Raw genomic sequence first — 16,720 nt, 5'->3', positions numbered from 1 at the left:
CTGTAAAATTCCAACCCTTGGGAGGCCAAAGCTGGTGGATTACTTGAGCCTAGGCATTTGAAACCAGCCTGGGCAATATGGTGAAACCTCGTTTCTACCAAAATAATAATAAAAATAACATAAAAATTAGCCACGTGTGATGGTGTGTGATAGTGGTCCCAGCTACTCAGGAAGCTGAGGCAGGAGGATCTCTTGAGCCCAGGAGACTGAGGCTGCAGTAAGCCATGATCACGCCGCTGCACTCTAGCCTGGGTGACAGAGCGAGACCACGTCTCAAAAAAAGAAAAAAAAAATTCAGTTTATGTGAACAAAATATATTTCACTACCCTGTTCTCTGGAGAGGATATTCTCTGTTATCCTATCCAAAAATATTTTTTTCCAAACGTATTTGTTTCTTCTAATAGGAGAGAAGTGTCTTCCATTTCTGACACATTTGGGGTAAAGACTTATGGCATCTTAGTAGCTTGGGGTGGTTATGTGACTATCATTCTCAAATATGACATTCCATGTATGGCTTTGGGTGCATAACCATTATTCCAGTTATATACAGTCCAGATATCAAAGAGCTGTTCTCTTGCCCAGTGGCCACAAAATTCTTAATTTATTTGAGGTCAGTGTTGGCAAGCAAACAAACAGATAAAGACTAACAACTAGATTCTCTATTGTCTCTCGCCTAACAGAGAACAGGTCTCTATAAACAATGAATCTACTTATAGATATCACCAAATGGTCAGACCTTAAATTCCCAAATCAGTCCTGTCAATAAGCGGGAATAATTTATTGGGCAAAAAATGAGCCCCAAAAAAAGAGCCATGGAATTAGTAAAGAGGAAAACTGGAATCAGAAAAACAAAGTTAGCAGAATCCTATTGTTATTACGGATTCATCTCTGGGAACCAAGAGAAAACATATGTAGAAGAAAATTTCCCGTGAAGTACATTCCTACATGATAAATTGTGCCTTGCTTTGTCAGTTGAACCCACTGGATATCTCAGTGAAGGATCTCCAAAGCTGTTAAAATTAATTTTAAAAAAGAAAGGTAAAATCACGGCTGTCATATCATGTATAAGATTAATAGCTGTTAAAGATTTTATTTTACTCATAATGAGAGATCCAGTCAAATGTTATAGCTGCTTTCTGTTTCTGGATATATTTTGAAAATAGATCCAAGGATTTCCTAAAAGACTGAATGTATAATGTTAGTTATTGAACTTACTGAAGAATCTTCTTCAGAGAAGATATGAGTTAGAGCTAAAATTTTATCTTCCTACCATATGGATATAGTTCTTTTCATCCAGCATTTTTATAGTTGATTTTCAGTATTTGTGAAGACCAAAAGCATGTTCAATATAATCTGAAACAAAGAAGAGAGCACCTGCTGTTAGGAACAGTCATTTTAAGTTGAACAAAACCATTCAGGAGAAAAAAAAAAAAACCTGTGCTGAGTTGGTGGCTTTATCTCAAAAGAACCAGTTCTCAACCAAGACAAAAACAAACTTATGCGGAAGTTTTGCTTGGAAAATAGCTTCAATATTATTTAATACCAATAACTGGATTATAGGAAGACATATTTTACTTTATTAATGTTACAATGAGTCATATAGCCCATGGCATTTTGACTAATTGACTCCTAATTTTAAGTCAGGTAATTCATAACATATACAATAAGCTGTTTATTCAACACTTTTATTTGACTGGTTACCCCATAATTATAAGGAGTAGTTCAGATAGTTCATAATATATATGGATGGGCAGATATTACATATTGGCTATTTATTAATGAAAAGATGAAAAGACTTAACTTGGAATTTCTTATTTAGTAGTGAAGAAATAAGCTACAACTAATGTTAGATCTCTAGACTTTATTAAAAATAATCAACAACTTTATATCATCTCAATTCAATTAGTGTTGTGAATTTATTGAGAATCTTTTTTTGGATATCCAAGGATAGATATATATGTGTATATGTGTGTGGGGTGTGTGTATGTGTGTGTGTGTAAAAAGACAGAGAAATAGAGAAACCCAAGTAAAGAAAAAGCAAGGCACAGCTGATAACTAATTTTCCACCTACAAATGGCTATCACTGTCTGGATGTCAAAATAGGAACCACTTGCTGAGAATTCCAACCTCAGAAGTACTGTCCAAAACATGTTGCAATGTACGTGTTAACATGGTGGAACTTGTAATTTATGATAAAATTCCACTTTGCTAGAACCTGTTGATTCTATTATATTGTTTTCTCAGGAATTCTTCATTATTGAAATGGATTTACTGTGCTTACTGGAAATGCCTAGAAGCATTCAGTATTTATTCTTGCAGAGGAACCAGCAATGACATATAGATCACCACCTAAAATTGGGTCATATTATTTGCTTATGTAGTGTTATACTTTACATATGCAAATGTGACTATCATACCACCAAAACTCGTGCAACTGCCATTTTCTCTGACCGGGAATTTATTTTCATTAGCCCCTACTTTGTTCACCCAAGCTGTGATCAACAAGGAAAAATGTTTTTAATAGTTCAGTTAAAAGGACAATATGGTAGTTGAAAACAGAATGAAAGGTACTAATCCATCAGTGATGAAAAGCAACTTTGGCTTTTTTTAACACTAACTAATTAATAAGCCAAACAGCCCTTGTATTTAAAATGTAATCATTTACAAAGGCAGCAAAGTTACAGGAGGAAATTGCACTGGATTAGTAGTCAGGGGACTCAGAGCCCCATTCCAAGTACAATGTGACATAGGACAATTGATTTCACTTCCCTGTGTTTTCCACTTTTGTCCTCAAAAATAAACTAAGTATTTGCTGGCGTTTGATACGTTCTACTGGCGTTTGATACGTTCTACTAAATGTGAATTTTCAGAATTTCACACAAGGCACCTGTCCCCTTATACATCACTTATCACTGACATCTCATCACCTCTCACTACCCACATATCTGGTACCCAGTTTGGCTAATAGTCTTTAAACATTTGGGGGCTTCTAAAAACCCTCGGGGTGATCACATTTGTTTTCTTATTCCTCTTTAAGGAATTGTGCTTTTATTCATGAGTGTAACTTTCAGCACCTAATATATTTTTTTCAATAATGCATCAATCACTTTTAAATAATAATTTTTTGTAGGTCATGCTGGAGTCATAAAACTAATGATTTTGCAAGTTCACTTTAGGCAGAAACATTTTATGTCAGCAGATAAAGCACATTTCACTGATAAACTAAAAACAAACAAGTTTCCCATGTAGTTGTCCTCAATAAGAAATTAAACACAATGAATCCAGTCTAATCATGAGTAGCAACCAGATGGCTAGGCAATATTTGACACATGACTTATCTGTCAATGCTCATAGCCACATACTCAATTTACTCTGGGTTTGACCTTGATTGTCTTACAGACTCTGTCAATCACAATGGCATGTGATTCTTCAATCCAAGGTAAATTTCCTCTGTAACTACAATCAGATGGTTGCTAAGGCATCGCTGTCAGTCACTCAGTTATCCCCAAAGGTAGGCTTTCTGTAAGTGTGCGTGATAGTCAACAGACTTTCAGTTAAAATGCCAGTGGAAGATGATTTATGCTATACTTGAGATAAGTTTGCTGGAAAGAACAAGCTTTCAGGAGAGACTAATTCAAGAAACTGGACTGGGAAACATGGATAAGGAAGGTCAGGAGAAACCCTAAAAATCAAACTAATCAGTAACTTTCTTGCAGTCAAGCCTTTTACACAGTATTCAGGGAAGTAAAATCCTCTTACTAGACCTATCAATGAGCAAGTGGACCCAAAATATGTGTTTCTTATTTGAAAAGCATGAGACAAAATCTGTGGTCAAAGATGATAGCCAAGTTTGAATCCCAGTTCTACTATTCTACTATTGATAAGGTTAAACTTTACATCTCACTTTTCTAACCTGTAAAGTAACATACCCTTCTAGACTATTGTGAAGAATGAATTTGATAATAAATGTAAATATACCTAGTATCCTACATGACCTAGTAAAGCAGTCCCTTAATGTTAGTTCCATCCCTATCCTTCTAGAAAACATTTTAATTTAAAAAGAAATGTTTTAGGCTAGATGTATTATTTACCAGATTAGGAAATTGAAACTCATAAAAACATCTATAAAATCAGAGAGCTAACTATTAATTAGGACTCTCCTTTATCTACCATGTAGATACAATCAACATATATGCACCATCTAATTCAGCAGCCATAAGCTACCTATGGCTATGGAGCCCTTGAAATGTTGCTCATCTGAATTGAGATGTGCTATAAGTAAAATCTACACTAGATTTATAAGGCTTAGTACAAAAAATGTAAAATATTTCACTAATCTTTTTTACAACTGAGTACCTATGAAGTAATGATTATTTTACATAAAATATATTACTAATATTAATTTTACCTATTTCTTGCTGTTGTTTGTGGGTCCTGGAAAAAGTAAATTTGGCTACGTAGCTCACATAATATTTCTAAAGGAGAGTGCTAGTATATAGAGTTGCTCTTTAATGAATGTCTGAATAAACAAATTTGGTAGGTGCTTTTGGAATTATACCTGTAGATCATCTCACTAAACACAGTCCCTGGAAATTAAAAAAAACACTGAGTGTAAATAAGTGAATATTAAAAGTTTTGAAGAGAGAGTACTATGAGAAAAATAAAAGTTCAGTATAAAATTGCTAATGGCGGTGTTGGACATGAAAAACACATTGTCCTCAATGACATTCATAGTGTACACTCTTAATAGGGTAATATTTTTTGTTATAGCTACTACAGGGAAAGCGTTCATCCATGCTGGAAGTTGAAGTTTATTATCTCAACTTCATTGGAGGTACAAGGTATTGTATTAATGAAATCTAAGTCTCTTCTCTCCTTACTAATTCATCCTATCTGGGGCATTATGGACTGTCAGCTAGACAGCTTTACCTTATTCAAAGAACAGAAGACCAGGAAGCAACATTTCTTATTTCCCCCCTCCAAAAAATACTCTCACGGATAATTTTTATTTGACCAGAAATATTTTAATCATATGAGCACTTAATAAGGTACAAATAATTATGTGCAATTACATGATGATTACTCTCAACATAATTACCACACCAGCGCAGCTTTGTTAGAGATAATCAGATGGTTACTGGTGAACTGCAAATTAATTGATAACAGGACATTTATAATTGCAAATGATCATTATTACCTCGGAGTATGAGCACATTAGAAATGTGAGTAAGATGGCAGGAGGATCAGGGACATTCATTAAACAGAAATGTCATAGAATAAGTAAGATTAGATCATAAATCTACTTTACTCAGTTCCAACCTAAAGGATGCTCTGTGTCTGCTATTTGCAGATTTTTTGGTCGTATTTCATTCAATATATACACAGCCTATTTTGGGTTAGTCTACCAATCAGAGATTTTCTTCCTGTGTGCACCATCTGTGTTGTAGTCTGGCTGTATTTATAGGCATCTTAGTAGCAAATTACACTTTTAGAGTTAGATGATAACAGAATACCTACCCCCCAAAAAAGATACAGATGCCAAGAGGTAAAAATGTCTTAAGATCACACACACAATGAGTGATGGGCCTATAGAATTTCAATTCTCCTCATTTCCAGTCTAGAACTGCATTAAGTTAACATGGAACAAACCTAGTTTCTTCACATACTATTTTACTACATTGTCATACTTGAACATTGACCCTCAAATAAATATTTAATCATTGATTCAAGCCTAACATAAGTCTCTGTTTTAACACCATCCTAAACATTAATATCTGAGAATTCATTGGTTTGATGTTACAATTTTTTTTTTCTAAATCACAGTAACATGAACATGAATCTATTAAAGCAAACACTACTTTGTGTGGTAGGATGCCTATCACACTTTGTGAAACACTCTTCCTATTCCATATTCTGACTGTATGCCAGAACGTTTCTATAATTCTTTGAGTTTAAGATGGCTTAGAATAGCACTCTGCACTTCAGAAAACAAAAAAAAAAGTATGTACCTTTGTGTAGAGCAATGAATTATATATTAATTCAAAGACATATGTGTTACAGCTCTGGCCCTTGAGAAGCTCAAAGCTCTCACAGAGTATAAAAGCCTTACACAAATACCTTCAACACCAGGCAGCATGAAATGCATGCTATGAAAGCAGTGCATCCTGCTACAGAATTTCACAGGTCCTAGCTACCATTCCAGGATGAAGTGAATGGTAATGACTTTGAAAATAAGAGAGAAATGAGCTGGGGCTTGAAGGGTATTCAAATTTAGGAATATGGAATAAGGACATATAAGGTAAAGTATAAAAAATTTTAAAATCCAGACGATAGAGAAAGAAAAGCAAGGCAATTGTGATGGTTAAATTTTATGCGTCACCTTGGCTAGGCTCTGGGGCCCAGTTGTTTGGTCAAACACTAGTCTTGATATTGCTTTGAAAGTATTTTGTTGATAGGATTAACATCTATAATCAATTCAGCTTAAGTAAAGGAGATTATTCTCCTTAATGTGGGTGATCTTCATCCAATCAGCTGAAAGCCTTAAATGTAAAAACTGAAGTTTCCTGGAGATACACACACACACACACACACACACACACACACACACAAACACACACACAATCCCATTGGTTCTGCTTCTCTGAAGAGCCCTGGCATATAGAGCATATTAAGATAAACCTAAGTAGCCAAACACAAGTGCAAAGGAAAATGACTGGAAGTTAGATTTGGCACAGACAGCACAGGCATGCTGAATAGCCTGCTAAAGAATTCATATGTATGGAGGAATTCAGGAAGCAGCCTCAAGAAGTGTGGTGAGCAGAGGAGCAAAAACAATCCAAGAAGTGCACTGGGGAGACAAGTGTGCCAGTAGTATTTCTGATGGGTCAGAGGAAAAAAGATATGAGATGTTGAGAAACCAGGTAGAATGTTATTAACAATATTTAATCGCTAACCTTCCCAAATCAATAAAATACATGAAAATCACATTGAAAATGTTGAATTCCATCCTGTAATAAAATGATACAGTGATAAAGTCATATATTCTTACCTCTACATTTGACTTAAGAGCTCTTTTGAGAAAACACTTGGTTTTAGCAATTCTTGCTTTAAACTTTTGTTTTCATGATTCCTTAATGGATACACGGTCTAGTATTATTCATATCTCCTGCTTTCATCCGCATTTAACTATTTGATATACAAGGAAGTGGACATCAAATGACCTTTACTAAAAAAAATTCTCACTGACTCTTGAGTGATTTTTTTACCTTTATATTTCTGCATGCTGTTACATGTGTCTATAGGTTTTCTTGGGTACAAAGGTGACTCTTTGTTGATTTTCTCCTGACTTCCATTTGACAGGAAAGTTGTTTCTCAAAATATTCTTATAAATTCAGAAAGGGTTCCAATTTCTTGATATTGACCTTGAAGTGATGTTTATTTCTTGCATTACTTGTGCTAGTATAGTTTCTTTATTTCATATTTAAGTTGGTTTTCAAAGCAATCAATCTCCTAAGCTATATCAAATATCTTAAAATTTAACCGCTGAAATTAGAAAGCAAAAATAAAAGTGATAATCTTGGTCCAGTTTGCTTGTGGCATATCATGCTAATCTGTTGACACTTTTTCTTAAAGCAGTGTTATACTAATTACCATCATTAGCAAACATCCTCCATTATGTTGGCCATATGTGCATACCACTAGAACTGTTTACTTAGCATTGTTAAATTCTTATTTTAAATTTAAATATGTATTTTCCATTTGTCTTAATGAATAGACTCAAGGAAGCCATGGGTTTTCCATGCTGGTTATATTTTCCTAATATACATAATAATATATACATATTTCTACTATTAAAACAAAAGCTAATCTTAGGTATGTACCCAAAACAATCATAGTACCACTCACTAAGTGGTATATATATTCTATTTAGCAAACTCATTAATAAGTACATATTAGACCCTTTATTTATATTCTGCTATTCCTTACCGGGACAGTGGTAGAAAGTATATCAAGTGAAGCCCTGACAAATACTCATTCGTTTCCTGTGAAAGACATCTCCCTACTGTTGAAGAATCTGCTCATCCTAGAAGGCCTGTCATTGGCTACATAGTTAATGCATGTTCTGTGTGATTTCAGGAAGCATGACAAGTACCTGTGCATGGAAGCTACAAGGCAGTGCATTTAGACTCAACATATAAAAAGAATCATTTCTGCCAAAGAGATTACAAAATGATGCTGTACTAGTCAGGCCTTTTTTCACATACATGGAATAAACCATATTTTCAGGTAACTTGAGTTCATGAGATTTAACTTAAAGATGAAGGGGTTGGTAAAGAGGGCAGATAATCTTCTCCTAACTCTACTATTTTATTTACATTGAATTTTTTGCTGTGCTAGCTGCTTGCCTGTAATATCATTGCCCTCTCTCTGCCTTTTAGCTTTAGTCCAATCACTCTGCTCATTCTGTCTGTATGATCAGATCAGGTTAGGGTGTTGTGACATTTTCAACACACCAGTTAGCCAGAGCTCTTACCAAGTCACTTATTAAGGATCACAGTCCTTTGGGGACAGGGACCCACCTCTGGTTCATTACATCATGGTTAGAGAGATTAAGTCATCTGGTATCAAGCAGTAGTTACTACTCAAGCCCAATCCTCTGTATGGCATTGAAGAAGCCTCTGTCTCTGACCTTCTGCTTCAAACCTTTCCCCGTATTCTTAATTTTATTTTTTCAGCTTTCTTGTATGGAGTTTACAATCTAATAAGATAAATAAAATTTCTACACAAATATAAACAGTGTTAGGTCATTTGAAATGCATGTCATAACAATGGACCAAAGTGCTACAGAATTTCTCAGACTTTTTTTCCTTGTTGAAATAAAGCGAAATTACTAAGGAGAAGGATGGTAAACTCGGCCATGAAGGATTAGTGATTTCCATGTTTAGGAAAAACAAGCTAGGATATTCTAGACAGGGAATCCTACAAAAAAAAAATCCAAGGTCACAAAGAAAAGGCAAGCTATCGGCAGAGGTTTAGGAGACTAATGAACATTTGCAAGTTTCCTAAAATAGGACAGTGAACCTAGAAGCTACCTTTTATAACACATTCATTAGAGATCTTATTTTATAGATTAAATAAATGTCTTATACATATTTCCATAGATCAAATATTTATGTCCCCTGCAAATTCAAATGCTGAAATCCTAATCACCAATGTGATAGTGATATAGTTGGAACATTTGACCCCACCCAAATCTCATGTTGAATTGTAAACTCCAGTTTTGGAGATGGGGCCTGGTGGGAAGTGACTGGATCATGGGGGAGGATCCCTCATGGCTTCGTGCTGTCCTTACAATAATGAGTGTCCATATACAGTTGTTTGAAAATATGTGGCACTTCCCCACTCTCTTGCTCCTGCTTTTGCCATGTGATGTGCCCGCTCCTGCTTTGCCTTCTGCCATGACTGAAAGCTCCCTGAGGCCTCTCCAGAAGCTGAGCAGATGCCAATGCCATGCTTATACCACTTGCAGAACTGTGAGTCAATTAAACCTCTTTTTAAAATAAATTACCCAGTCTCAGATATTCCTTTCTGGCATGAAATGAACTTGAGAATGTTCATTTCTGGCAACACAAGACTGGCCTATCAGAGATACTATTAGGAGGTAAGGCCTTTGGTAGATGATTAGATCATGAGGGTGGAACCCTTTTGAATGAGATTAGTGCCCTCATCAAAGAGACTCAGGAGAGTTCCTTGGTCCTTTACACCCTGTGAGAACTCAGAGAGAAGAAGGCTGGCTATGAACCAGAAGTGGGCCCTCACCAGACATCCAATTTGCCAGCTCCTTGATTTGGAAATCCCAGTCTCCAGAATTTTGAGAAATAAATGTCTGTTGCTTATAAGCCACCCAGTCTATGTTATGCTGTTAGAGAAGCATGAATGAACTAAGACATGTATGCATATTTATAAGAAAAGAAATGGCTTAGTTTTCTTATACACCTCCATCTAGGGGTATTACAATTTTACAATCAGTTGTTCAATCTGAATGAACAACTATAGCCTCTTTTCCACGGAAAAGACAGCAAGTGATACATTCTGCAGAAACCAAGTTGCTGCACCCTTCTACCTTAAAAGTAAAAATAAATGAATGTGGGCCTTATCATTCCCTTATTCAACTACTCACCAAACAAGTTCAGGCTCAGCGACACTCATTTAGCTTGTACCTGATGCTGCTTGTAAAATATGCTAGAGGGATGCAAAAACTTCTTACCTCAAGATCGTCACCCTTCTAGTTGACTCTCACAGCCTGTTTGACAATAAAATAAAACAACGATAATAGCAACAACAGCTACCCTCTTTGAGAAATTATTTTTCCGATTCTGTTTTTTAACATTGCATATGCATAATTTTATTTAATTATTTTTTCCTTTAGTTCTTTTTCAAATTTTATTTTATCTTTTAGAGTTCAAGTCAACTGGATTTTAGATTTAATTCTTATAATAACCCTATGAGGTAAACTATTATTATTATTTCTATTTAACAAATGAGGAATCATAGTGTTCAAGTCGAACCAAATTATAAAAGGAAGTAAGTAGCTGAGTTGACCTTCGAACATCCGAAAGATTTTCTCTACATCATACTTGCCATAGTATAACCAACTTCAACTTTACTTCACACTGATCCAACTCTCAGGAATATTCAATCTATCCCTTTCTATCCATTAACAGTTTGATATCCCCACAAAAAGCTCTGCCCAAGATAAATAAACCATTAAAATAAATACTTCAATAAAAATCTAGAATACTGTGGAAACTCTGAAGAAGGAGTGTTTAATTCTGCATATAAATTCTAATACAGGTAAATTACATTATGGGATGAAAAATAATTGATCATTCAGATTCCCAGAGGCTCTGTGCACTGGCTTCTCACCATTCTGTATGTCTTGGCTGAAGTCCATCAACCGGCTAGTACCATCCCTAATTAGCAACTTAGTAGATTATGCCTATGTTGACATTTCTGTTCAAGCCAAATGGTCTGTTTGCTCAGTTGATCACTGTGTCCTCGTTAGGAGTTCTTAGCCCATCAAAATCATATTTGATGAGTCTGGCAAAGTACTCAACTGTATTTCTGTTCTCTTTTGTTCTAATGCTAATCATTGAGATTTTTAACCATCCTTCCAATGAACTGAAAAGCCCCAATTTAGAAATCCAAACAAACCAATCTTCTGTGTGATGACTGATATCAGCACAATCTACCACGTTGCAGATCACTGATAGTTGTTCTGATCTGTAGTGCCAATAATACCTGTCACATAGGCTTAAAACGTCAATCATCTTTGCCTTTCTTCTCTTTTGGCCCCTACATGCCATCAGGGACCAAGCACTGTTCTCACTTTCACAATCTCTCTTTCTCATTTGTCTCTTTTCCAATTCCATTTCCTCTACTCCAATCCAGGTTTTTACTACCTCTTGCTTGACCTATTTAATTGCCTTCTAACTTGGCTCTCCATCTCCACTGTCAGTCTCCTGCAATCTGCTATACACTGCAGCTAGAGCAGTTGTCCTGATGGACATCAACCACTCATGTCCTTCTCACATTCAGAAATCTTTAAAGCTCCCTACCATCTACGAAAAGAATGTCAGTCTACTTAACCAAGTATTAAACGGCTTTCATGGGCTGGCCTACTTGCCACCAGTTTTCTTTTTTTTGTTTTTTATTTCAATCGTTTTTAGGGTACAGGTGGTTTTTGGTTACGTGGATAAGTCCTTCAGTGGTGATTTCCGGGATTTTGTTGCAGCCATCACCCAAGCAATGAACACTGTACCCAATATGTAGTCTTTTATGCCTCACCCCCATTTCACCCTTCCCCTCAAGTCCCCAAAGTCCATTAAATCATTCTTATGCCTTTGCATCCTCATAGCTTGGCTCCCACTTATAAGTGAGAACATACAATGTTTGGTTTTCCATTTCTGAGTTACTTCATTTAGAATAATGGCCTCCAGCTCCATCTAAGTTGCTGAAAAAGACATTATTTCGTTTTTTTTTATGGCTGAGTAGTATTCCATGGTGTATATATGCCCCATTTTCTTTATCCACTCTTTGGTTTGCAATCAATTTTCTAATCATTCTTAATAAATTCTGATATACTCAAAAGAGAAAGATCAACTTACAATAAAACTTGACTTAGTAAATAGCTTTCCCCTGGATGCAGCAGAGCAGTGGTTCTCAAACATTCGGATCCATCAGAATCACCTGGAGTGCTTGCTGATTGAGCGTGGGCTCCAGAAATTTCTGATTCACGAGGTCAGGAATGAAGTCTGAGACTTTCTGTTTCTAACAAGTTCCTAGGTGCTCCTGTTCCAAGGACCAATGGTATAGATGACAGCACCACAGAACCAAGAGTCTAGACTAGAACCCAACAGTCAATATTAATACCAAACACACCAAGAGCCCAGTACATACTATTCAGTAAGTAACTCAAGTAAATACAGTATACTAATGATCTTTTCTTGTCTTTCATGGTTTTTGATGTGACTGGAGACTATGTTTCCCTCATAACTATGAGCAGAGTCTAACAGTGAGTGTACTTACCTGCGCTTTGGGATATGTCATTCAGAATATCTCTAAGAATTGGTTTGGCTTAGGATCTCAATCATACAGGTAGAATATAGACGATAATGTCCCACTGACTTTTTTAACCCAAATTGGAAATAGCTCTACTTTTTCCAATTATTAAAGCAATGACTGTTCACCATTCAAATATTTCAGAATATATAAAAATAAAGTTAAAAATCTCCACTGTGTAATTTCATCCCCTTAATTCTTGAAGTTGGTATTAGTTTCACATTATTTTCTTTTTCTACACACAAAAGACAGACAAAAATGCAAAGACGTGGAATTATAAAAATGAGATCACATATTACATCCTATTTTATGAGTGTTTTTGTCCTCTGAAAATGTAATGGCATTTTTCCAGGTCCATACATGTAGACCCACCTTATCATTATTTAAAGTTATTTTAACATTTTTGGTAAGAGCAAATCATTTTTATTTATCTGTCCATTTCCTGGTGGACATTTAGGTGCATGGTTTTTGGATGTAATAAAAAATACTGCAATAAACATTTGTTTATATATGACTTTGTGTTTATAAAGAATTCGTGTTTTACAGAATTTAGTTTTTTAAAGAAACATCTTCCTCTATTATAGTTATTCGACTAAAATCAGGCTGAGGAAGTCCTTGCTTAAAAGTTAGAAACATTCTGTATTTTCGTATAGTAGTATGTGATTATTTCTATATTTAAGTTTCAGAGTAATGTGCTTTTGTTTGAAGTGGTATTGATCTAAGTATTAAAATAGACCATTTTTTCAGTATTTGCTGAGTTATCAATCCATATTACAATTCATTTTATATGACATTTAATATCCACTTAAATTTATAACTACGGTTTGTTCTATTTCTATTGATCCATCTACATCTGCATAAGTTTTTACTGACAGTACATTTTAAAATATTTTGGCTTTTACATTCATATTTATATCTAGTAAAGTCTCCCATTCCCTCTTCCAAAAGGCTCTGTTCACTCCCTACATTTCTCTACCCACTTTTTTCTCCAAATCAAATTTAGGTTCATTAAGTTCTGCCTTTATTCTAAGCAAAAAACAAAAACAGAAAAACTGTAAAGATTTTTACTTGAACTTCAGTAAACTTACAGATTAATGTGGGCACATGTGACATCCTTAGAATGACAGGACTTCCCATTTAGGAGGAGAGTGTGTTTACTTTTCAATCAAGCACTTGTTTATATCATATAGTGAATGGTACTATTTTTTCATGTAGGTCTTGATGATTTCCTAAGTTTCCTAAGTTTACTTCTAATTTTTTTGTATTTCTTTCTTCTGTGAATATAATATTATTCCTCTTTTTGTTGTTGTTGTTTTTTTGTTTTGAGACGGAGTCTTGGTGTGTCGCCCAGGCTGGAGTGCGGTGGCGCGATCTCGGCTCACTGCAAGCTCCGCCTCCCGGGTTCCCGCCATTCTCCCGCCTCAGCCTCCCGAGTAGCTGGGACTACAGGCGCCGCCACCACGCCCGGCTAATTTTTTGTATTTTTAGTAGAGACGGGGTTTCACCGTGTTAGCCAGGATGGTCTCGATCTCCTGACCTTGTGATCCTCCCGCCTCGGCCTCCCAAAGTGCTGGGATTACAGGCGTGAGCCACCGCGCCCGGCCTCCCTTACTTTTTTGATTCTTGCAAGTATTAGCTAATAACTAGTTTCATTTATCTTATCTCTCATCATGTAGTGAACTCATTAGTTCTAAAAGCTTTTAATTGTAAAAATTTATTGAAGAACCCATATACAATCTGAAAATAGTAATATTTGTCCTTTCCCATTATTTATTCTTAATTCTGTTTTCATTTTACCAACTATAATCTTCAGAGCATTGTTGACTAAGAGCATTGATAAAGAGTATTTGTTCTTTAACTTAAAACAGAAACAGTTTTACTGTTTACAGTGAATTGTTATATTCACTACTGTTTTTCATATCTTTCATAATAGCTTTAAAGTTTCTAGGCCGGGCGCGGTGGCTCACGCCTGTAATCCCAGCACTTTGGGAGGCGGAGGCGGGTGGATCACGAGGTCAGGAGATCGAGACCATCCTGGCTAGCAGGGTGAAACCCCGTCTCTACAAAAAAATCAGCCGGGCGTGGTGGCGGCGCCTGTAGTCCCAGCTACTCGGGAGGCTGAGGCAGGAGAATGGCGGGAACCCGGGAGGCGGAGCTTGCAGTGAGCCGAGATCGCGCCACCGCACTCCAGCCTGAGTGACAGAGCCAGACTCCGTCTCAAAAAAAAAAAGTTTATTTTATCATTCCTAATGTTCTAAAAATGTTACTGGGGAATGTCGATTTGATTTCATCAAAAGGCGTTAAACATCTTTCAAAATAGAGATGTGGAATTTATCTTTTCAATGTATTATAAATAATTATATTAATATACCTCTGAATACTGAACTCTTCTTGCATTTTTAGAACAAATATACTTGGTAAGTGTATATCATTCTTTTAACTTGATGATGCCTGCGATTCAATCATATTTACAAGAGTAATAATAAGGAAGCTGGTCTACAATTTTTAATGTTACTTCGTACAGCCTTTCTAAAATTTCACAATATATATTAGACTCTCAAAACATGAACTTTAAATAAGATAGAAAGTGTTCCCTATTACTTTTAGTTTTAAAATTCTGAAACATTTTAAATCACTTGGTAATGATTTGTCTCTTGAGCTTCAGCACTTAACTAGGAAGCCATCTGAATCTGTGTATTTTGCAGAACTGAGGGTAAATCTAAGACAATCTTTAATTTGCTTTATCTTGGCAATTCATTTAAGCAGGAAATTTTTCTTTTCGAAAAAACAAAGTGGTTCTTTCTTTTTCCAAGCAAATCACCAAATCTGCTTGCAAGTATTACATCCATAACAAGCACTACTGATTTTGAAAATGTATTACATACAAATGGTCCTATCTCCTTTAAATTTAATATCATACATTTATGAACTCATTTTTTTGAATCAGAAACAACAAAGCTTTGTTGATTTTACAAGTCTTTTCAAATATGGGGTATTTTTAATTCTATATATTTTATATGTAAACAAGTCATTAATTTCTACTTTTAAATAACTATTCACTTTTTATTAATTTATTTTGTTTTATAATGTCATTTTCTAGCCTCTCGAGTTAAATGTTTAGATTACTTAATTTCAATCTTTCATATTTAAGAATGATGCATTTACATTTTTAAAAATCTCTCTCAGTAAACATCTGACCACATATTAGAATCCTGAATAATTATTTTCTGTGACTTGTTTTAAAGATAGTTCATAGTATAATTGATTTCCACTTAAACCCAAAAGCCATTCACAAGTTTAATTTTAATTTCCAAGTAGCTCATATTTTTGGTCCTTGCTAATTTATAATTTTATTGCTCTTTAATTAGACAATATAACCTATAAGATTTTTAATATTTAATATTTGAAATTTTCTTTACATATATGATCAAATTTCATAAACATTCCAAAAACATTTTTGAAACAATATACAGTCTACATTTGTAGAGTATAACTTTCCAACCATGGAGGCAAGGTCTTACTCTGTCACCCAGGTCAGAGTGGGGTGCAATGGCCTCATCATAGCTTACTATAACCTTTAACTCCTGGACTCAAGCGATCCTCCTGGCTCAGCCTAGCTAGAACCATAGGCACACAACACCATGCCCAGCTAATGTTTTAAAATTTTTTGTAGAGATGGAGTCTTCCTATGTTGCTTGGTCTGTTGAACGCCTAGCCTCAAGTGATCCTTCTGCTTCAGGGATTACAGGCATAAGCCACCATGCCTGGTCTTGAAATAAATCTTAACTGAACTGTAATATTCAAACCAGGGGTTCTCAAACGAGGAAAGGGAAACATCATATACTATTAGAAGCCAAGTGGACATATTAAAATGGGCCAGGGTGAAAACAAAGAAGTATTTTGTTCGAATGTTTTCATTTACTTTTAGTCATCATATTTACTTTATTTTACAATTAAAATGTTATTAAATGACAAGGTAAAAAGCTTATGGTTATCAAAGCATTGGTATGAGCTTAATATTGTGGAAAATATTACATCATTTGTCTTGGATTTTTTTGACTAGTCCAATTCTGAGAGATGTATTAAAATTTCCCAGTCT

At 35.3% G+C, this 16,720-nt stretch overlaps 1 protein-coding gene across 28 annotated transcripts in view; it reads right to left on the bottom strand.

Annotated features, from left to right (window-relative positions):
• CNTN4 (contactin 4) overlaps window positions 1-16,720 on the bottom strand; it is a 959,094-nt gene that overhangs the window by 873,695 nt on the left and 68,679 nt on the right. For 10 of the 28 annotated variants that reach the window (XM_047447535.1, XM_047447520.1, XM_047447526.1 and 7 more), the window contains one exon: window positions 1,216-12,405. The exons of 12 other annotated variants lie outside the window; for them this stretch is intronic. The gene's annotated coding sequence lies outside the window, so the exon portion shown is untranslated. The remainder of the gene's footprint in view (window positions 1-1,215; window positions 12,406-16,720) is intronic. 6 more of the 28 variants (XM_047447530.1, XM_047447531.1, XM_047447521.1 and 3 more) reach the window with 5 other exon arrangements.

The sequence above is a fragment of the Homo sapiens genome, chromosome 3 (assembly GCF_000001405.40).
Source record: "Homo sapiens chromosome 3, GRCh38.p14 Primary Assembly".
NCBI lineage: Eukaryota > Metazoa > Chordata > Mammalia > Primates > Hominidae > Homo > Homo sapiens.
Note: the sequence above shows the minus strand (reverse complement) of the source record. Positions and strands in the feature narration are given on the sequence as shown.